Genomic DNA, 22,799 nt, shown 5'->3' with positions numbered 1-22,799 from the left:
GCTGTCATCAGGCTGGAGTGCAGTGGCACAGTGACAGCTCACTGCAGCCTTGAATTCCTGGGCAATCCTCCCTACATCAGCCTCCCTAGTAGCTGAGACTATAGATGCATGCCACCATTCCAGGCTAATTTTTTATTTTATTTTATTTTTTGAGACGGAGTCTCGCTCTGTCTCCCAGGCTGGAGTGCAGTGGCGCAATCTCAGCTCACTGCAAGCTCCGCCTCCCAGGTTCACGCCATTCTCCTGCCTCAGCCTCCCAAGCAGCTGGGACTACAGGTGCCCGCCACCATGCCCGGCTATTTTTTTTTGTATTTTTTTAGTAGAGACGGGGTTTCACCGTGTTAGCCAGGATGGTCTCGATCTGACCTCGTGATCTGCCCACCTCAGCCTCCCAAAGTGCTGGGTCTTGATATGTTGCCCAGGATGGTCTCGAATTCCTGGGCTCAAGCAATCCTCCTGCCTCGGCCTCCCAAAGTGCTGGGATTACAGGTGTGAATCACTGCACCCTGCCCAAATAATTCTTCAGTTGTGAAAAATATTCAATTTTAGCCATGAATACAAATGAATATTTTTTTATCATTATAGTCTATAAAAAAGTCAGTATCTTTTTTTCATTTAGTGGTGACAAATATACTGAGATAATAAGGGAAACTACAGCCTAATAAATAAACTGCTCTTGTTCTTTCAGTGATTTTTAGGATTAAATCTGTTCATCAATATCACCAAACTGAGTAGAAAGCATCCATCTAGAAATTCCTTAATCAATCTAAAAATTTCTTATTCTAAGGAAGCAGAAATAAAAGTAATTATGAATCTACAGTTAGAATAGCCTAATCTTGAGATTTACCCTATCATCCCCACCAGTTCAGTGCAAGCAGGTTAAAAACCAGGAACTACATATGGATTCCTAACAACACAAATCATCCTTATACCTTGATTCCATCGTCCCTTTACCAACCAAAGGAATGAAAAAGAACAAAAATGACGGCATCAGATCTTAGATAGGAGTCTCTATCCTTATCAACAAAACTACATATATATGTCTATAAATGGACATATATAAATATATACACACACACATATATGAGATTGCAAATAGCAGAGGCTTAGATTCAGATAATTCCTGCCAATGTCTCATCAGCAGTTCCTTAAATACAGGATCCCTACACTAGAGCCACTGGCCCTACTGATGACCACGTCAGTTAAAAACATAGTCTACAGAAGCCTAGGAGAGATCCTTCAGGGTCTCAGAAGACAGAAACAAGAGCACTTTTCCAATACCACCACTGCTTCAACAAAGCAAAAGTCAATAGAAACTCCCTTTCCTACCTCGAAAGCTCTATTTGGCATCAAATTTCTGGAGCAAGAGCACACTTACACGATAGGACCTGAAGGTTGCCATCTGCTCTACTCTGTACAAATGGGCCATCTCCTGGCAAGACTGTAATGATGCCTGATGTGATGAATAAAACTTAGGCATTGCTCCCAGGCTAAAGTAACAAAAGAGACGCGATGGAGGGGCTCAGACAGAGCTTTACATAAGGTAAAACAGTGGGGCTTCTGTCTCTCAGGTATATAATTTCATACCGATTCTAGGCAAGATATTTCCTCTTATTCCCTAGGATGAGGTTAAAGATATACCAAGGGGCCAGGCACAGTGGCTCACGCCTGTAACCCCAGCACTTTGGGAGGCCGAGGCGGGCAGATTACCTGAGGTCAGGAGTTCAGAAACCCCATCTTTACCAAAAATACAAAAATTAGCAGGGAATGGTGGTGGGCGCCTGTAATCCCAGCTACTTGAGAGGTTGAGGCAGAAGAATAGCTTGAACCCAGGAGGCTGGTCTCATGAGGTTGCAGTGAGCCAAGGCTGTGCCATTGCACTCCAGCCTGGGCAACAAGAGCGAAACTCTGTCTCAAAAAAAAAAAAAAAAGACATACCAGGGAACTATCCACAGGAGAGAAAAGTTTGTACACACAGCAGGGATTTACACACTGTTCTAAGTCATAAGCTCATTTTCCTTTGCCAGCAAAGGTCCCAGGACTATCAACTTGGAACAGAAGTCTTGTTGAGTATGTGCTAATAGTGCATTGGAGCATTTCTTTTAGAAAGCACTCCACTACTCCTAGTTTGCACCTGTTCTCCCTGTGGATATATATGGGCTAGATCACCTTCGCTGGGAGAGAACACAAGTTCCCCCAATGTCTCAAGGAGACTAATAGAGAGCAAACTCAGATTTACCTATGCAGCACTCTCATGTACAATAACCTCTTCTGGCTCCCACTGAACTGAATAGCTTTCAGCTAAACTAGTAATCACATCACACAGAAATGCCAGTTGAAATACAATACTAGTTAGGTAGTTATTATAGTCAATATGCAGGGGACCAAAATAAGATACTTCTAGAGCCAAAAAATATGATTATAAATGGAATAGAAATTTGGGACAGAAATATATAAAACACATTAACAAAAAAGAGAGTGGTATTCATTTTGTATTCACCAAATATTTACTAAATTATCTACTGCATTCTAGGTACCCTACTAGATAATTAAAAATACAGACAGATGCAGTCTAAGCCCTCAGGGAACAGACAATCCAGTAAGGAAGAACAACAATGAACAAGTAAATTACAACTATGATTATGAAAGAAAAACTAGAATGCTTTAAGAGCATGTATCCAGGGAACATAATCTAGTTTTTGTTTCTGTTTTTGGTGGGGGTAGGAGAGCAAAGTATGCTATAAGGCTAAATAAAGGAAAGCTAAAAAAGTAAAAATATGTTACATGCACATTCTTGTGAGAAAATAAATACATAAAAAAGCAAAAATGTCTATGTCTCCAGCACCAGCCAGACATAATTTTTAAATCTAGCTGACCCTCTTGTAAAGTATATCCCTACTGTGAAAAGATACATCAGATCCCAGAAAACTGATTATAATCTGCACTCCATATAATAAACCTTCCTACCTAAAAAGGATGTACTAATTATCTAAGACCAGTATATAATTCACTCTGTAGCTGCAGTTCATATTATATAAATGAATAAATAGACATTCTGGTCTGTAAATCAAGATTTTGTGAGACTGGTTAGTGAGCTAGTCTTTGGGGGACTGAGCATGTCTAGGTGATAAGAATGGGTGCTAAAACTGAGCTTCTGGAAAAATAAGGTTGGACTGTGTTTCATCAATGATCAGTCAGCCAGCCCATCTCTATTACATTTCTCTGCTCTCTATAATTTCAATAAACATGATATCAGGAAGTGCTAGGGAATGGTTTAAAAATTTGCTAAGAAACTAATCTGGGCCAGGCACAGTGGCTCATGTCTGTAATCCCAGCACTTTGGAAGGCTGAGGCAGGCGGATCATGAGGTCAGATCAAGACCATCCTGGCTAACATGGTGAAACCCCGTCTCTACTAAAAATACAAAAATTTAGCCAGGCGTGGTGGCACATGCCTGTAATCCCAGCTACTCAGGAGGCTGAGGCAGGAGAATCGCTGGAACCCAGCAGGCGGAGGTTGCAGTGAGCCGAGATCGCGCCACTGCACTCCAGCCTGGGCAAAAGAGCAAGACTCTGTCTCAAAAAGAAAAAAAAGAAGAAAAGAATCTGAGCACAGTGCAAACTCATAATTAATTGTTAAAGGGATGAATGAACAATAAACTTAAGAGACTTACTGTTCCCTCTAAATCAAGTGCTGAGTTTCAAAGGAGGCGGAGACTAGGGCCAATGAAACAGCCAAGTTTTTCAAAGAAGCACATATGTGTGTGTAAAAACACATATACATACCTGCACTCAAAGCAATACCAGTGCCACGGTGGCAGATGGACATCGCCATGGGAAGAGACCAACTGTAAAGAAACACACAAAGACAATTTTAAAAAGGAAAAGATGACACCATAGTAGAGAGTCTATCTTGGCAAAAATATAAACTAATTCTGAAATAGGCACTTTTTTTTCTTTTTTTTTTTTTGAGACAGAGTCTCGCTCTGTTGCCCAGGCTGGCAATGGCATGATCTCAGCTCACTGCAACCTCCACTTCCCGGGTCCAAGCAATTCTCCTGAATAGGTAATATTTTCTTAAAACAAAACAAAACAAAACAAAAAATCACCAGCTTTTGCATTCCTGTCTTTTCACTTTTTTTTTTACCCCCCCGGAACAGGGTCTTGCTCTGTCACCCAGGCTGGAGTCCCATGCCACAGTCTCAGCTCACTCCAACCTCTGCCTCCCGGGTTCATGAGATTCTCCTGCCTCAGCCTCCTGAGTAGCTGGGATTACAGGTGCCTGCCACCAGGTCCGCCTAATTTTTGTATTTTTAGTAAAGGGGTTTCATCACCTTAGCCAGGCTGGTCTTGATCTGATCTCATGATCCGCCCACCTCGGCCTCCCAAAGTACTGGAATTACAGGTGTGAGCCACTGTGCCCAGCCGTGTTTCCACTTTTTACTTTAAAAATACAAACCTGGGCCAGGCGCGGTGCCTCACGCCTGTAATCCCAGCACTTTGGGAGGCCAAGGCAGGTGGATCACCTGAGGTCAGGAGTTCGCAATCAGCCTGACCAACATGGAGAAACCCCGTCTCTACTGAAAATACAAAATTAGCCGGATGTGGTGGCACATGCCTGTAATCTCAGTTACTCGGGAGGCTGAGGCAGGAAAATTGCTTGAACCCAGGAGGTGGAGGTTGCGGTGAGCCAAGATCGCACCATTGCACTCCAGCTCCAGTCTGGGCAACAAGAGTGAAACTCTGTCTCCAAAAAAAAAAAAAAAAAAAAAAAAAAAACACCTGTATCAGGATTAGGTTACAAAAATAAATTAAAGAATAAAGAAAACTGATTTATGGAGAAGGATCCCTACCTTTACCAGACTGCATCACTGATAGGGCTGAGAAAAAAAAAAATGATTATAACTCAAAACTCCTTTCGCAAGGAGAAACATGGGTCAAAGACACTCATTAAAGTTGGAGCTGGCATGGTGGCTCACACCTGTAATCCTAGTACTTTGGGAGGCCAAGGCGGGGGCCGTTGAGTTCAGGAGTTCAAGGTCAACCTAGGCAACGTAATGAGACCCCATCTTTACGAAAAAAAAAAAAAAAATTAGCTGGGTGTGGTGGCAGAGGCCTGTGGTCCCAGCTACTTGGGAGACTGAAGTGAGAGGGTCGCTTGAGGCCAGGAACTCCAGACTGCAGTGAGCTATGACTGTGCCACTGTACTCCAGCCCGGGTTGGGGAGAGAGAGACAGAGACCATGCCTCTAAATAAATAAATACAGTTGATACAATTAGAAAGTAATCACTATAGGCCGGGCACGGTGGCTCACGCCTGTAATCCCAGCACTTTAAGAGGCTGAGGCGGGTGGATCATGAGGTCAGGTGTTCGAGACCAGGCTGGCCAACACGGTGAAACCCCATCTCTACTAAAAATACAAAAATTTAGCCAGGCGTGGTGGTGCATGCCTGTAATCCCAGCTACTTGGGAGGCTGAGGCAGGAGAATGACTTGAATCCGGGGGGCGGAGTTTGGCGTAAATGGAGATCACGCCACTGCACTCCAGTCTGGGCGACAGAGGGTGACTCCATCTCAAAAAAAAGAAAAAGAAAGAAAGCAATCACTGTAATACAACCTGGGTCCCTCTATTTCTCCAGGTATAACACTGATGGAAGAAAACCTGAGTTTCATTTATCCACAGTTTCATATAATACATGGTCATCCTTGAATCCTCCCTTATTATATGCCCCAAAATATCCAAACTGAACATACCACTTATTTCCTAATAAGTTACCTATCCCAAATTTTTATATCCAATCTTCTGGATTTAGTATATATTTCTTAATCCACAGTAGTTCTGAAATACTTTTCATCATCAAACCCCTTTTTAAATTATGAATCATCAACTTTCCATTGAAGGACAACCAACATTGTTATTCTAGACCTAGTTCTCATGCTCAAGAGAGAACTGGTGGGTAAAATGGAAAGAACAAGAGTCTCTGAAGAAAGCTAACGCTCATCTTGGAATGTTAGCTTAGACAAAGAATACTAAGCATAATCAAACCGTATCTTCAACACTTTGAAGAGAAATAAAGAGGTTAAAAAGATCTCAAAAGAAAATTCTGCCTACATAATGAAAATGGTCATAGTAAGTAAGAAAGGAGTATTCCCAAATAAATTAAAAATATTAATACTAACTAGATACCACTCTGATCAACTCAGATTTAACAAGAGAAATATAAAAGGTGGAAGAAGAGCCACATACCACTCTGATCAACTCAGATTTAACAACAGAAATATAAAAGGTGGAAGAACAGACACATAACCAAGGACAGAGAACGATAGCATAATTTGGTAAGAAGAATCAGGAGACCGAAACCCAGAAGGAGCTGAGGCTTGCAACAATTTCAAGGACAACAAAAAAGAGGTTTTAAAATTGTATTCTGACACAGTCAGCCTCCTAACTGGGATGAACAATTTTATGCTAATTGATGACAAGAGTGTGAAACAGATTGCACAATTATTTTTCTTGTCAAAGAGAATAATTATCAGCATGAAAAAGACAGAACAAATATTGATCTGAAAGACTTGAAACCCTAAAGAGGTGAGGAAATTGGAAGATTCCAAACACACTTGGGGCTCTGGGACCAGATGAATCAAATCCCATGACTGAAAGAGCTAATAGAAGAAACATATGCACTGTTCCAGAAATCTTTCAGAAATACTGATATACAAAATGGGAGTGATGTAATATGAAACTGCTGAATTCAAATGTTACCCTATTTTTCAAAAACGGTTAAAATCATAGCCTGGCTAGCCCAGTAATGACAAGGTAAAAATATTGTTTTCTAAAAATAACCATAATATTATTTCCAGTCCCCCAGGATCTTCCAGAATCTTGTCATTTCTCATCAAGCAAGTATTTAGCCTCTACCCTTGAACCTGGGCAGGACTTGATGACCGACGGCCTCAAAAGGTAGAATGCGGCAGAAGTAATGCTGCATGACTTACGAATTCTCCTTCCTTCCTCATGCTGTGTGGAAACCCAAAGCAGCCTACAAAGACATGTGAAAGGACCTATGTGGTGAGAAAATAAGGGCCCCATCCAAGAGCCAGAATCAACTCCAAGACATGTGAGTGACTGGATCTTCAGATTAATTCAGGCCCTAGCCTTTGTGTTTTCCAGCTGAGGCCTCGGGCACCATGGAGCAAAGACAAGTCTTCTTCACTAGGCCCTGTTTGAACATTAGGTAAGAGTCTAGTATAGAAAATCAAGATGTGGGCAGGCACAGTGGCTCAGGCCTGTAATCCTAGCACTTTAGGGGGCTGAGGTGGGCAGACTGCCTGAGCTCAGGAGTTTGAGACCAGCCTGGGCAAGATGGCAAAAAAAAAAAAAAAACCCATTTCTACAAAAAATACAAACATTAGCCGGACATGGTGGCGTGTGTCTATAGTCTCAGCTACTTGGGGGACTGAGGAAGGAGGATTGCCTGAGCCCGGGAGGTCGAGGTTGCAGCAAGCCGTGATCACGCCACTGCACTCCAGCCTGAGTAACAGAGGGAGACTCTGCCTCAAAAGCAAAAAAAACAATAAAAAAATACCTCCAGAAAGTAAAAACATTTCTCCAACAGCCCAGACTGCCAATGGCCAATAAGTACATGAAAAGATGTTTAACATCACTAACCATTTACTTCCAGGCCTCTTTCAAAAAACCCAAAAAATGGGTAATAGAAAATATGACTTCAGGTATCTCAGATATCTTTCCCTGACATGCCACTCTGGATATAGCCCCGTGTTCCCTGCTGCTTTTTTCCCCCCAAGTATGTCTGGAGTTACATAACCAGAAAAGCAAATAAGGTAGTGAAAGACTCACCTCACCAACCTACAACCATTCTTTATATGACCTGTGAAAAAAGGCCACGGCTTTAAATATACAGATTCAGAATAATTTAGGATGCTCTTTTCTCTTTTTCATTATAATTCTTCCCCAAAACTTTTTTTTTTTTTGAAACGGAGCCTTGCTCTGTTGCCAGGCTACAGTGCAGTGGCGCAATCTTGGCTCACTGCAACCTCCGCCTCCCGGGTTCAAGCGATTCTCCTGCCTCAGACTCCTGAGTAGCTGGGACTACAAGCACGTGCCACCACGGCCAGCTAATTTTTGTATTTTTAGTAGAGACAGGGTTTCACCTGAGATCAGGATGATCTCGATCTCTTGACCTCATGATCCACCCACCTTGGCATCTCAAAGTGCTGGGATTACAGGCATGAGCCACCGCACCGGGCCTCCTAAAACTTTTATCTCTTAAAAAAGAAAGTTTCACGATTGAGAAGCAAGAAATAAGATCACTTATTAGCCTCCTTCTGTTTTAGTGGCATGTCCAGTTTCTACAAACAGGATTATTCCTGGAATCTGGCTTGGAAAAAAACTGAAGGGTTATGGTATTTGTGGAGGTGGTTAAAAAATGGCCAGCCTCACTGGCAGAAACCCAAGAGAGTAGCAGAGCTCAAGATGCTTTGCTGGGTTAGCCTAAAAAAACAAAAAGCAGATTTACAGGGACTTATCTTCAAAGACATCAGCAAAAACTGTTATCAATGCCACTTCTGAAGATGAGATAAACAGAGATGTATGTATATATGTATATATGTATGTATGATGTATGTATATACTTATATACACACACGTATGTATGTGACAGAGATTGCATACATATATATGCTACCTCTATCCACAGACCGGGCCTAGAAGCAATGACATCCTAGTAGCAATGAGCACATCTAGCACCCAGATACTGATTTCACAGGAGTCATTTTGAAGAACTCCTATTGGCCAGGTCTGAGACAATTTGAACACCAAAATAAATAATAACAAAGTATAATCCTTTGGGGAAATTAATGCTTGATCCATATTATCCTTGAGTCCATACTGATAAAAAAAGCAAGCTTTACCCTATCAAAACAAACAAATCTAGAAAATATTATTATAATATATAAAATTAGCAACATTACATTTGGCAACTATCACAGTAATAAATGATTTAGGCAAGTACCTCCAACAGATACTGGTGAGTAAATATCTGATGAGAAAGAATATTTAGAGTTTCAAAGTATCTCCCGCCAAAATATGTATTAATTAATACAACATCCTTATTCAGTAACTTTACAGTAGAGAAATCTAGCAGACACATCTTAAACAGTGACAAAAGTTAACATCACCAGTAATGGGATAAATCATTAGCACATGCCTCCTGATACAATGTACTGACAGAAGTATAGCATTACCGCAGGGGTATTCCTGCCAAAAATGCATAAATCATAAAACACCAAACAAACCCAAATTAAGGAACATTCTAAAAACGTCAAGGTCATAACAAATAAGGAAAGACTAAAAATCTCTCCCATACTGCAGGAAAAAGAGACATGACAACTAAATGTAATATATAATTCTAGGTTCAATCTTAGGCCTATAAAGGACATTAATGGGACAAGTGGCAAAATTTGAATGGGACCTACGGTTTAGATAGTAACATTGTGATGGTTGTACTTTGGAGACTGTCTTGCAATTGAGGAAATGCACAGCCAAGTATTAAGAAGTTGTAGTAGGCAGAATAATAGTCTCCTTAAAGATGTTCATGTTCTAATCTCTAGAACCTATGAATATGTTACCTTTTACGGCAAAGGGGAATTAAGGTTGCAGATGAAATTAAGGTTGCTAATAAGACAACCTTAAGATAAAGAGGGAGTGAGCCGTAATCCCAGAACTTTGGGAGGCCGAAGTGGGAGGACAGCTTGAGCCCAGGAGCTCAAAGCCAGCTTGAGCAACATGGCCAAACTCCATTTCTAGAAAATATTTAAAAATTAGTCAGCCATGGTGGTACATGCCTATAGTCCCAGGTACTTGGGAGGCTGACCTGGGAGGATCACTTAAGCCTGGGAAGTCAAGGCTGCAGTAAGCCATGATCATGCCCCACAAGTTTTATTAAAAACTTGTAGAAAACTTGTGCCATTTCAGCCTGGGCAACACAGCGAGACCCTGTCTCAAAAACAAAACAACATAGACTATCCTAGATTATTAGGACGGGCCCAGTGTAATCATAAAGGTCCTTAACAGCAGAAGAGAGAAATGAGAAAAAAGAAAAGCAGAAGAGGCTCACAGAAGAAAGGAGTCAAAGAAGAAATGAGATGACGGAAGCAGGGTCAGCATGATGTGACTGAAGAACTCAATGTAGCATTGCTGGTTCTGAAGATGGAGGAAGGAGGGCAGAAGCCAAGGAATTCAGATAGCCTCTAGAAGCTAGGAAAGGCAAGGACATGGATTCTTCCCTAGGGCCTCCAGAAGGAAACAGAGCCCTGCCAACACCTTGATTTTAGCCCAGGGAGATCTTGTCAAACTTCTGACCCACAGAACTATAAGGTAATAAATTTGTGTTGTTTTAAGTCACAACGTTTGCAGTAATTTGTTATGGCAGCAAATAGAAAATTAGTATAGATTGTGGTAACTAGAAGAGGAGTGCAGCTGTAACGAATACCCAAAAATGTGGAAGTGCCTTTGAAATTGGGCAGTGGGAAGGGACTAAAAGAATTTTTAGGACCATGATTTTTAAAAAGCCCAGATTGCCTTGAACAGATTTTAGTAGAAATATGGATGTTGTGCTGGTGAGGATGTGGAGAAACTAGAACCCTTATACACTGCTAGTGTGAATGTAAAATGGTACAGTCACTTTGGAAAACAGTCTGGTAGTTCCTCAAAATGTTAAACATAGGCCGGATGCCGTGGCTCATGCCTGTAATCCCAGCACTTTGGGACGCTGAGGCAGGTGGATCATGAGGTCAAGAGATCAAGACCATCCTGACCGACATGGTGAAACCCCGTCTCTATTAAAAATAGAAAAATTAGTTGGGCGCGGTGGCGCATGCCTGTAGTCCCAGCTACTTGGGGGCTGAGGCAGGAATATCGCTTGAACCTGGGAGGTGAAGGTTGCAATGAGCTGAGACTGCGCCACTGCACTCCAGCCTGGCAACAGAGCGAGACTCCGTCTTTAAAAAAAAAAAAAAAAAAAAAGTTAAACATAGAGTTACCATATGATGCAATAATTCTACTCCTAGGTATATACCCAAGAGAAATGAAACATATGTGCACACAAAAACTTGTACACAAATAAATGGTCATAGCAGCATTATTTCTAATAGCCAAAAAGTGGAAACAGCTCAAACGTCCATCAATTTATAAATGGGTAAATAAAACACTGTATGTACATACAATGAAATATTATTCGGCCATAAAAAGGAAGGAAGCACTGATATATGCTAAAACATGGATGAACGCTGAAAACATTATGGTAAGTAAAAGAAGCCAGTCACAAAGGACCACATATTTTATCACTACATTTAAATGAAATGTTCGGAATAGGTAAGTTTATAAGATGGAAAGTAAATAACTGATTGTCTAGAGCTGGGAGGGACAAACGATTGGTGGTGATGGCTAAGAAATGTAGTGTTTCTTTCTGGAGTGATGAAAACATTCTAAAATTGGCTGGGCATGGTGGCTCATGCCTATAATCCCAGCACTTTGGGAGGCCAAGGCAGGCAGATCACCTGAGGTCAGGAGTTCAAGACCAGCCTGGCCAACACAGTGAAACCCCTGTCTCTACTAAAAACACAAAAATTAGTCAGGCATGGTGATGCACATCTGTAATCCCAGCTACTTGGGAGGCTGAGGCAGGAGATCACTTGAACACAGAAGGCAGAGGTTGCAGTAAACCGAGATCATGCCACTGTACTCCAGCCTGGGCAACAGAGCGAGACTCCATCTCAAAAAAAAAAAAAAGAAAGAAAAAGAAAATATTCTAAAATTGTGGTGATGGCTGAACAACTCTGCATTTAACAAAAGCCACTAAACTGTATGCTTTCAATGTGTGAACCGTATGGTATACAAATTGTATTTCAAAAAGGAAAATATGAATGTTAATTCAGCTAGTAAAGGCTCAGGAGGAAATTAGGAACATGTTATTAAAAACTTGTGGAAAGGGGATCCTTGTTACATAGGGCAGAAAGTTTAGCAGAATTATGTCCCACGATAATGTGGAAAGCAGAATCTACTGAAGTGGCAACCTGATTTCTTTTTGCTCTTTATAGTAAAATGTGAAAGGAAAGAAACAGACTGAGGGAAGAGCTGTTAAATAAAAAGCAAGCTGAGCACGGTGGCTTACAGCTGTAACCCCAACACTTTGGGAGAAAAAGGTGAGAGGATCGCTTGAGCTCAGGGGTTCAAGACCAGCCTGGGTAATATATTGAGACCGTCTTTACAAAAAATTAAAAACTAGCCAGGTGTGGTGGCATGCACCTGTAGTCCCAGCTACTCAGGAGGCTGAGTCAGGAAGATCACTTGAGTCCAGGAGTTCAAGGTTACAACGAGCTATGATCACACCACTACTACACTCCAGCCTGGGTGGCACAGTGAAACCCTGTCTCTTAAATAAAACAAACAAACAAACAAAAAAACAGGACTTAATGATTTGGGAAATTCTCAGCCTTCCCAGCAAAAATACTAAAATTAAGATATTCACTGTTGCCAGGCGCGGTGGCTCATGCCTGTAATCCCAGCACTTTGGGAGGCCAGGGCGGGCAGATCACGAGGTCAGGAGCTCAAGACCAGTCTAGCCAACATAGCGAAACCCCGTCTCTACGAAAAATACAAAAAATTAGCCAGGTATGGTGGTGTGCGCCTGTAATCCCAGCTACTTGGGAGGCTGAGGCAGGAGAACCGCGTGAACCAGGGAGGCGGGGGTTACAGTGAGCCGGGACTGCGCCACTGCATTGCAGCCCTGGCAATAGTGTGAGACTCTGTCTCAGAAAAAAAAAAAAAAAAAGATATTTACTGTCAAGGCCTGGTACAGTGGTTCACACATAATCCCAGCACTTTGGGAGGCCAAGGCAGGCAGATCACTTGAGCCCAGGAGCTTGAGACCAGCCTGGGCAACATGGTTTTATAGAGATGGTGATACACCATGTCTATAAAAAAATACAAAAATTAGCTGGGCGTGGTGACATGCACTGTAGTCCCAGCTACTCAGGAGGCTGAGGTGGAAGGATTGCTTAAGCCTGGGAGGCGGAGGTTGCAATGAGCCCAGATCGTGCCACTGCACTCCAGCCTGGGTGACTGGGTGAGACTCTGTCTGGACAAAAAAAAAAGGATATTCATTGGCAAAAAGAAAAAGTCAGGGCGTGGCCATGTAACCTTATGTTAATACCTGAGAAAGATTGAAAGGGCAGAATATTTAGTCACATAAAAGGCGTTTTGAAATTAAGCATGTTACTAGTAGATCCCCTCAACCATCTCATCAGAAGGCAGAAACAGAGGCAGGATTATTTAGGAAAATTCTATAAGGGAACGTCTTGTCTAATGGAGCAAATTCCCATGACACAAGCAGGAGACCCACAAGGTTCTCTTTTTTTTTTTTTTTTTTTGGAAACAGAGCCCAGGCTGGAGTGCAGTGGCGCCACAATCTCGCAATCTCGGCTCACTGCAACCTCCACCACCCAGGTTCAAGAGATTCTTGTGCCTCAGCCTCCCAAGTAGCTGGGACTACAGGCGCACCACCACACCTGGCTAATTTTTTGTATCTTCGTAGAGACAGGGTTTCACCATGTTGCCCAATCTGGTCTCAAACCCCTGAGCTCAGGAAATTCACCTGCTTTGGTCTCCCAAAGTGCTAGGATTACAGATGTGAGCCATCGCGCCTGGTCCCAACAATGTTCTTAAGAATGTTATACCAACAGAAATACTGCCAGCATAGACTAAAAGTGACAGAGAGAAGATGAAAAGAAGACTGTCATACCCCGAAATTTCTACAGACAAAAAAGAGGCTGTTAAAAATGACTCAGCTGCAAAAGCATGTGTCACCTTTCACAAAGAAGGATAGCGGATGGAGCTATAAGCCCAGAGGGCAAAGCCAATAGCTGCAAAGGATTATTCTCAGGCCTTGAAATCAAATGGTGTTTGCCTGGCTGAATTTCAAACCTGGTTAGAACCAGAGACTCCTTTTTTCCTTCCATTTTCTCACTTTTTGAGCAGGAATGTCTACAGTTGTTATCCTATGTCTGTCCCACCACTGTATTTTGGGAGTATGTAACTTGTTGCTTTAGATTCACAGATGAAGAGAAAATGTTCCTCAAAAGGATTATACCCAGAGCCTCACCCATATCTGGTTCAGATGGGGAGATTTAGATGAAATTTTAAGACTTTGAGATGAGGCTACAGTAGGTTGAAACTTTTGGGGCCACCGCGATGTGGTGAATGTATTTTGTCATGGGACAGACATAAACTTTGAGGGCTAGAGGGTAGACTGTGGTAGGTAAAATAATGCACCCTCCCCTCCAGAGGTGTCAATGTATTAATCCCCAGAACCTGTGAATATATTATCTTATATCACAAAAAGAACTTTGCAGATATTATTAAATTAAAGACCTTGAGATGGAGGCATTGTCCTGAAATATTTGGGGAGGTCTAAATATAATGACAAGGGTCCCTTGAAAGGAGAAAAGGGAGGTAGAAGAAGTCAGAGTGATACAAAGCGAGAAGGACTCTGCTATTGCTTGCTTTGAAAATAGAAAAAGAATGCCATAACCCAAGGAATGTGGATGGCCTATAAAAGTTGGAAAAGGCAAGGAGCCTCTGGAAAAGAATGCAGCCCCTGCAAACAACTTAATTTTAGCCTAATGAGACCTGTGTTGTACTTCTAACCTAAAGAATGGTAAGACAATACATCTGTGTTATTTTAAGCCACTAAGTTTGTGATACTTGTTATAGTAGCAATAGAAAACAAATACAGGGACTGGGCGTGATGGCTCATGCCTATAATCCCAGCACTTTGGGAGGCCGAGGTGGGTGGATCACTTATGGCCAGGAGTTTGAGACCAGCCTGGACAACATGGCAAAACCTCATCTCTTACTAAAAGACAAAAATTAGCCGGGCATGGAGGTTCATGTCTGTAATCCCAGCTACTCAGGAGGCTGAGGCACAAGAATCACTTGAACTCAGGAGGTAGGGGTTGCGGTGGGCCTAGATCGCACCACTGCACTCCAGCCTGGGTGACCAAGCAAGACTCTGCCTCAGAAAAATAAAAAAAGAAGAAGAAAACAAATACAGGAATAATACTTGGATATCATCATCATTGCAACTTCTTCTTGTATCATTCAGACATGTTAAGCAGCTGGGAATCTGCTTATTAGCATGTCTGAATAATTTAAGAAGTTGTGGCCGGGCATGGTGGCTCACACTTGTAATCCCAGCACTTTGGGAGGCCGAGGCGGGCGGATCACTAGGTCAAGAGATCAAGACCATCCTGGCCAACCTGGTGAAATCCCATCTCTACTAAAAATACAAAAATTAGCTGGCCGTAGTGGTGCACACCTGTAGCCCCAGCTACTCGGGAGGCTGAGGCAGGAGAATCGCTTGAACCCGGGAGGCAGAGGATGCAGTGAGCTGAGATCGCGCCACTACACTCCAGCCTGGCAACAGAGCAAGACTCTGTCTCAGAAAAAAAAGAAGAAGAATTTGCAAAGTTGCAACTTCTATATAACTTAGCATATATACTATATACCTTCCATATAAAGGTATATGGGAACTCTGTATGTTATTTCTGCAACGTTTATGTAAATTTGAAATTGTTTCAAAAATGTTTTAATTAATGGGAATTATATTTTGACTTACCAGAATTTTCTAAATGGTAGTTTTGCAAAATAGATTACCCTTGTAATGACAAGATAGAATTTAGTCATCTCCACATAAAAAAGGTGTAAGATAATCCTTATGTCATCTCCCTCTACCCTGAAGGGTTCACCTCATCTACATAGCAGTATTTTGGTTGAGTAAAAGTGAGGGAAGTATCAAGTAGGCTAAAGATCAACCTTCAGAACTTTCACCCACTACCTCTAGATTCTCTGGCTCCAGAATCCTTCCTTACCTGTAGATAGTAATGTGGGGAGACAGAGGACGGTTTGAACCTATATTCTTATTCCAGAACCGCTCCATCTCTTCTTTGGCCGTGGTTCCCAAAGGAACAGCACTAAAATAAAACCAGACCGTTTGAAAATAACTAAAAGTAAACTTGGTTTAATATTTTGCATAACGTTTTATTAAGTCAATATTTTGCAATACCAAGCCAGGCATGGTTGCTCAGGCCTGTAATCTCAGCTCTTTGGGAGGCCGAGGCGGGCGGATCACCTGAGGTCACAAGTTCGAGACCAGCCTGACCAACATGGAGAAACCTCGTCTCTACTAAAAATACAAATTAGCCAGATGTGGTGGCGGGCGCCTGTAATCCCAGCTACTCGGGAGACTGAGGCAGTAGAATCACTTGAACCCAGGAGGCAGAGGTTGCGGTGAGCCAAGATTGCGCCATCGCACTCAAGCCTGGGCAACAAGAAATTCTCTCTCAAAAAAAAAAAAAAAAATTTGCAGTATCTTTTTAGAAAAGGTTTTGTTAGGGAAGCAGGAGCCTAGGAGAGCCAGAGTGACACTATTTTAAAATCGACTCCATCTTGTTATAGCAACAGAAAACAGAAAATAAAAATAAAAATAAAAATAAAATAAAATAATAGGCCACGCACAGTGGCTCAAGCCTGTAATCCCAGCACTTTGGGAGATCGAGGTGGGTGGATCATGAAGTCAGGAGTTCAAGACCAGCCTGGCCAACACGGTGAAACCCCATCTCTACTAAAAATAGAAAAAAATTAGCCGGGTGTGTTGGCGCACGACTGTAATCCCACCTACCTAGGAGGGTGAGGCAGGAGAATCACTTGAACCCGGGAGGCAGAGGTTACAGTGAGCCAAGATCACACCATTGCACTCCAGCTTGGGAGACAGAGCAAGACTCCGTCTCAAAAAAATAAATAAAATAAATAAATAAACTCCATCTTAAAACTAGCAAGGCACATTCCTTGCCAGTGACAACCCACGGTTCTAACATGTTTACAGCTAAGGAAGCAGCTTGGTAATACCTGCAAGGACAAACTCCAACAACAGAAAGTCCAGATGTCCCAATACCCATAACAACATATGCTTTCAAAATAATTATAGTTATGCTTTGATGTACTTACACACTAAAATGTCAAGGACAGTTTTCTTTAAATCAATAGAATAATAAATTCTGTCATGCTGTCTGGTCCCCCGCATGTAGGCACAGCTTAGTTTAGTCCTTACATAGACAAGATCCCTATATAAGGAAAACTTAGGCCAGACATGGTGGCTCACGCCTATAATCCCGGCACTTTGGGAGGCTAAGGTGGGCAGACGGCTTGAGCCCAGAAGTTTGAGACCAGCCTGGGCAACATGGCAAAACCCTGTTTCCACAAAAAATGCAAAGAAAATTTAGCCAAGCATGATGGTCCGAGCTTGCAGTCCCAGTTACTCGGGAGGCTGAGGTGGGAGGATCTTCTGAGCCCAGGGAGGTAGAAGCTGCAGTGAGCTGTGATTGCATCATGGCACTCCACCCTGGGCAACAGAGCAACACTCTACATCAAAATATTTTTAACAATTGGCCAGGTGCGGTGGCTCATGCGTGTAATCCCAGCACTTTGGGAGGCTGAGGCAGGCAGATCACAAGGTCAGGAGTTTGAGACTAGCCTGACCAACATTGTAAAACTCCATCTCTATTAAAAATACAAAAATTAGCTAGGCGTGGTGGTGCACACCTGTAATTCCGGCTACTTAGGAGGCTGAGGCAGGATAATCACTTGAACTCAGGACGTGGAGGTTGCAGTGAGCCCAGATCACGCCACTACACTCCAGCCTGGTCGACAGAACGAGACTCTGTCTCAAAAAAAAAGAAAAAAAAAAAATTAAAAATTAAAATAAAATAAAATAAAACCTTAAAGACCTAATATATATATATATATATTTAAAAAAAAAAAGAGAGAGAAAGAGAGAAGAAAAAAAGAAACTCAAAGACAGCATGTTCCCCCACTTGCTTTCTGAGGACACCCTACTATATAATTGAGTAGTTTCTAATAAACTTGCTTCTTTCACTGCACTTTGCTACTCACCTTGAATTCCTTCCTACATGAGATCCAAGAGCCCTCTCTTGGGGTCTGGGTCAAGACCCCTTTTCCGGTAACAGTATGGTGGGCTGGATAAACCCACAGTATTAGGAAAACATGTTCCTCCACTTATCTTATTTTTATACCAACTTTAATTCAGTTAACCTGAATCATCTGATGAGGTCATATCAGACGATAACTCTGCTTTTTTTTTTTTTAATTTGAGATGGGATCTCGCTCTGTGGCCAAACTGGAGTGCAGTGGTGCGATCTCGGCTCACTGCAACCTCCGCCTCCTGGATTCAAGTCATCCTCCTGCCTCAGCCTCCTGAGTAGCTGGGACTACAGGCACATGCCACCGCGCCCAGCTAATTTTTGTATTTTCAGTCAAGATGGGGTTTCAGTACGTTGGTTGGTCAGGATGGTCTTGATCTCTTGGCCTCGTGATCTGCCTGCCTCGGCCTCCCAAAGTGCTGGGATTACAGGCATGGCTACCGTGCCAGGCCGATAACTCTGCTTTCTAAACCCACCCAATACACAGGTCTGGCAATGAAAGCACAACTTCTTGTTGGGTGGCAGGGCAAGTATATTTAAAAAATATTCACATAAATAGATTATGCTTTTCCAGGGCCACAGTTTTATCTCATACATTACCATCTGCTCTCATCTGGCTTTTCAAGATTCCCTTTCAGGTTCTCAAAAATCAAGAACTAGATTCAGCTCGGTACCTCAGTAGTTTCTTGGTTTCCTTTGTCACTGGGCTAGGTTGAAACCAACTATTAAACAGCCATGCTCAGGCTATGCACAATTCTCCATTGCCCCATCCAGGTGATCCTTCTACCTCAGCTTCCCGAGTAGCTGGAACTACAGGTGCACACCACCACACCCAGCTAGTTTTTGTATTTTTTGTAGAGAAGGGGTTTCACCATGTTGCCCAGGCTGGTCTCAAACTCCTGGGCTCAAGCAATCCGCCCACCTCAGCCTCCGAAAGTGCTAGGATTACAGGCATGAGCCACCATGCCCAGCCTACTAAATTGTTGAGGATAGCTGTTTCTTATTTATTTATTTATTTATTTATTTATTGAGACAGGGTATCCCTATGTTGCCCAGGCTGGTCTTGACCTCCTGGGCTCAAGGGATCCTCCTGCCTCAGGTTCCCAAAGTGCTGGAATTACAAGTGTGAGCCACCACATCCAATCTTCTTTTTTTTAAAATAGAGATGAGGGGTCTCACTCTACTGCCCAGGCTGGAGTGCAGTGGCATGATCATAGCTCACCACAACCTTGAACTGCTGGACTCAAGCCATCTTCCTGCCTTAGCCTCCCCATAGCTGGGACTATAGGCACACACCACCACACTCAGCTAATTTTTTATTTTTTAATTTTTTGTAGAGACTGGGTCTCTCTCTGTTGCCCAGGCTGGTCTTGAACTCCTGGCCTCAAGCTATCCTTCTGTGTAGGCCTCCTAAAGTGTTGGGATTACAGGCATGAACCACCATGCCTAGCTGATTATATTTCTATGAAATATATTATTTGGGACAAATGAAAAATCTGAAAATCAACTGTGTATCAGATAAGAGTTCATCAATGTTAAATTTCCTGAATTTGATAATTATGTTTATATAATTATACTGCATTATGTAAAACAATTTCTTTGTTCTTAGAAGAAATATTTAGAAGTAAATGGTCATGATGTTCACAATTTACCCTTAAAGCATTCAGTGAAAATACTAATAATTAAATATGTATTCGGCTGAACTACACTAAATCATTAATATTTTACCAGTTTTGACCTACAAAAATAAAAATTTCATATGGCATAATCTAAAATACAAAAAAGAGTGATAAGCAAACACAATAAAATGTTAACAGTTGGCAAATGTGGGTGAAAGATATGTAGAACTTCATCCTACTATTCGTATAACTTTTCTGAAAGTATAAAATATTTCCAAAATAAAAAGTTTTTAAAAAATAACACAAAGGCAATTGTTGACATCAACAGGCTGAGAATAAATATACACCATGAAAGTCCAGGTGCAATGGCTCATGCCTATAATCCCAGCCGAGGCAGGGGGATCACTTGAGCCCAGGAGTTCAAGACCTGCTTGGGCAAAATGGTGAAACCTCGTCTCTACAAAATATACAAAAAATTAGCCAGGCATGGTGGCACACCACATGCTTGTGGTCCCAGCTACAGGAAGCTGAGGCTACGGCAAGCCCTGATCATACCACTGCATTCTAGCCTGGGCAATAGAGTGAGAGCTTGTCTCAAAAACAAACAAACAACACACATACACACAAACCATAAATAGTCACCACAATTACTTAAGTTTCAGTCAACTGTCTACAACTGCCCACTGTCGTACATATCCATCAAATCTAAGTCAACAATCTATTGCTCTTCCCTAAGGAAAAAAAAATAATCTCCAGGGCCGGGCGCGGTGGCTCAAGCCTGTAATCCCAGCACTTTGGGAGGCCGAGGCGGGCGGATCACAAGGTCAGGAGATCGAGACCGTCCTGGCTAACACGGTGAAACCCTGTCTCTACTAAAAATACAAAAAAATTAGCCAGGCGTGGTGGTGGGCGCCTGTAGTCCCAGCTACTCAGGAGGCTGAGGCAGGAGAATGGCGTGAACCCAAGAGGCGGCGCTTGCAGTGAGCCGAGATCGCGCCATTGCACTCCAGCCTGGGTGACAGAGCGAGACTCCGTCTCAAAAAAAAAAATAAATAAATAATCTCCAGACTTAGAAACTTACTTTCTGATACAGAGCTGAGGGCTAAAGTGGGCTCGGAGGCAATGACGACCAACGTGTCTGCAAGATAAGAGAATCAAAAATCAATACACATTTAGAGATCAACTTTAGTATATCAACTTCTCTATTTTTAGGGGTGAAGGGATAGATTAAAAGTAAGATATAAAAACAATGACAGTATCAGTGTCCTTGATACCATTTTCTAGTTGAAAAGCTACAACTCCAAGTAACTTGAAAATAATAAGAAATATTACCTAAAAATGCAAAATAGAGTTAATCAAACACAAATAATGCAAGACAAAAGAATAAGAATAATCAGAGTTGGTAATGTTCAACAGAGAAATAGAGAAAGTGATTTTTTAAAAGCTAGGTCTTGGGCCAGGCGCGCTGGCTCACACCTGTAATCCCAGCACTTTGGGAGGCCGAGGCGGACGGATCACAAGGTCAGGAGATCGAGACCATCCTGGCTAACACGGTGAAACCCCGTCTCTACTAAAAATACAAAAAATTAGCCAGGCGTGGTGGCGCATGCCTGTAATCCCAGCTACTCAGGAGGCTGAGGCGAGAGAATGGCGTGAACCTGGGACATGGAGCTTGCAGTGAGCCAAGATGGTGCCACTGCACTCCAGCCCGGGTGACAGAGCGAGACTCTGTCTCAAAAAAAAAATAAAAGCTAGGTCTTACAGGAGGTGATGTCTAAGAGACGGGGTTAACAAAACAAACAAAAAAACAGAATAAGCCCACTGGTAACTGCAACCATATAGCTTAGCTTTAGCAAATATCTACTACAAACGGATGAATTTAAAAGGTCAGGCCAGGTGCAGTGGCTCACGCCTGTAATCCCAACACTTTGGGAGGCTGAGGCCAGTGGACTGAGCCTAGGTGTTCAATACTGCCTGGACAACATGGTAAAACCCCATCTCTACAAAAAACATGAAAATTAGTTGGGTGTGGTAGTGCACACCTATAATACGAGCTACTCTGGAGGCTGAGGTGGGAGTATCACTTGAGCCCGGGAGGCAGAAGTTGCAACGAGCCAAGATCGCACCACTGCACTCCAGACTGGGTGACAGGGCTAGACCTTGTCTCAAAAAAAAAAAAACAAAAACAAACAAACAAAAAAAGGTTTAAGAGTACAAGGGGTTTGTGAAGAGAGCATCCTAAATATTAAGCTAGTTCATTTCAGGAACTAACATCAGTCAAACTCCAGATATCCTGAATGAATTTCAAGTCAAAAAGTCTTTCATGTAATTATTATAATGTGCAAAAAAATGGGAATAAAAAAAATTTTTACTGACCCCATGAAAGTTTTCTACTTAAAAATTGCCATTTTTGAAATGTATACATCAGTGCCAGAATTGCTTTTCAAGTCAAAAACTAAGATGTGCCTAGGCATTCTAAGGAGAATTTAACTGATCCAAAGTTTACACGGTACAGGTTGAGCACCCCTACTGTGGAAAATCCAGAATCTGAAACCCTCCATAACCCAAAATGTTTTAAGTGCTGACATGATGCTCAAAAGAAATGCTCACTGGAATATTTTGGATTTCAGCTTAGTGACATGTAACCAGTTAAGTATAATGCAAATATTCCAAAATCTGAAAAAAATCAGAAATCCTAAATATTTCTGGTCCCAAGCTTTTCAGAAAAGGGATGTTCATTGTGTACTATGAAAAACACACGACCATTATACCCTTCAGTCACATCATTATATCCTTCAGTCACATCATTGTATCAAATCTTTCCAAAAGCATTTAAGAAGGTAAATAGAGTGAATTTCTGGGACTAAAACTTAAAAACACATTGATTCTACAAAAGTTTATTGCATATCCACTACTTGCAAGGCACTAGGACACAAGATCTCATACAGATCTAATGATCTTCTAAAAAAGCTCATGATGTCCCTCACACCATTGATATTAGATGCACAAACTTTTCAAAAGCTTCATATTAGTACACTAGAAGGGCCCACTATTTAAAGGAAAAAAATCTAACGAACACTTCCTTCTTCAGCTCTTCCCTCTTTCCAGCT

The 22,799-nt window shown here is 42.0% G+C and overlaps 1 protein-coding gene across 13 annotated transcripts in view; it reads right to left on the bottom strand.

Moving 5' to 3' along the window:
* Positions 1–22,799, bottom strand: part of SDHC (succinate dehydrogenase complex subunit C) — a 48,826-nt gene that overhangs the window by 18,766 nt on the left and 7,261 nt on the right. For 3 of the 13 annotated variants that reach the window (NM_001407119.1, NM_003001.5, NM_001035511.3), the window contains exons 2-4: positions 20,771–20,827; positions 15,944–16,045; positions 3,786–3,847 (exon numbers count right to left, since the gene is read on the bottom strand). In NM_001407119.1, coding sequence (NP_001394048.1) covers positions 3,786–3,847; positions 15,944–16,011 — 130 coding nt within the window. In that variant the 5' untranslated portion in view covers positions 16,012–16,045; positions 20,771–20,827. Of the gene's footprint in view, positions 1–3,785; positions 3,848–4,852; positions 4,880–10,894; positions 11,015–15,943; positions 16,046–17,672; positions 17,791–20,770; positions 20,828–22,799 lie in introns of all 13 variants that reach the window. The other 10 variants (NM_001035512.3, NM_001278172.3, NM_001407116.1 and 7 more) reach the window with 8 other exon arrangements.

Source organism: Homo sapiens, chromosome 1, assembly GCF_000001405.40.
Source record: "Homo sapiens chromosome 1, GRCh38.p14 Primary Assembly".
NCBI lineage: Eukaryota > Metazoa > Chordata > Mammalia > Primates > Hominidae > Homo > Homo sapiens.
This window is presented reverse-complemented; position numbering and strand designations above follow the sequence as displayed.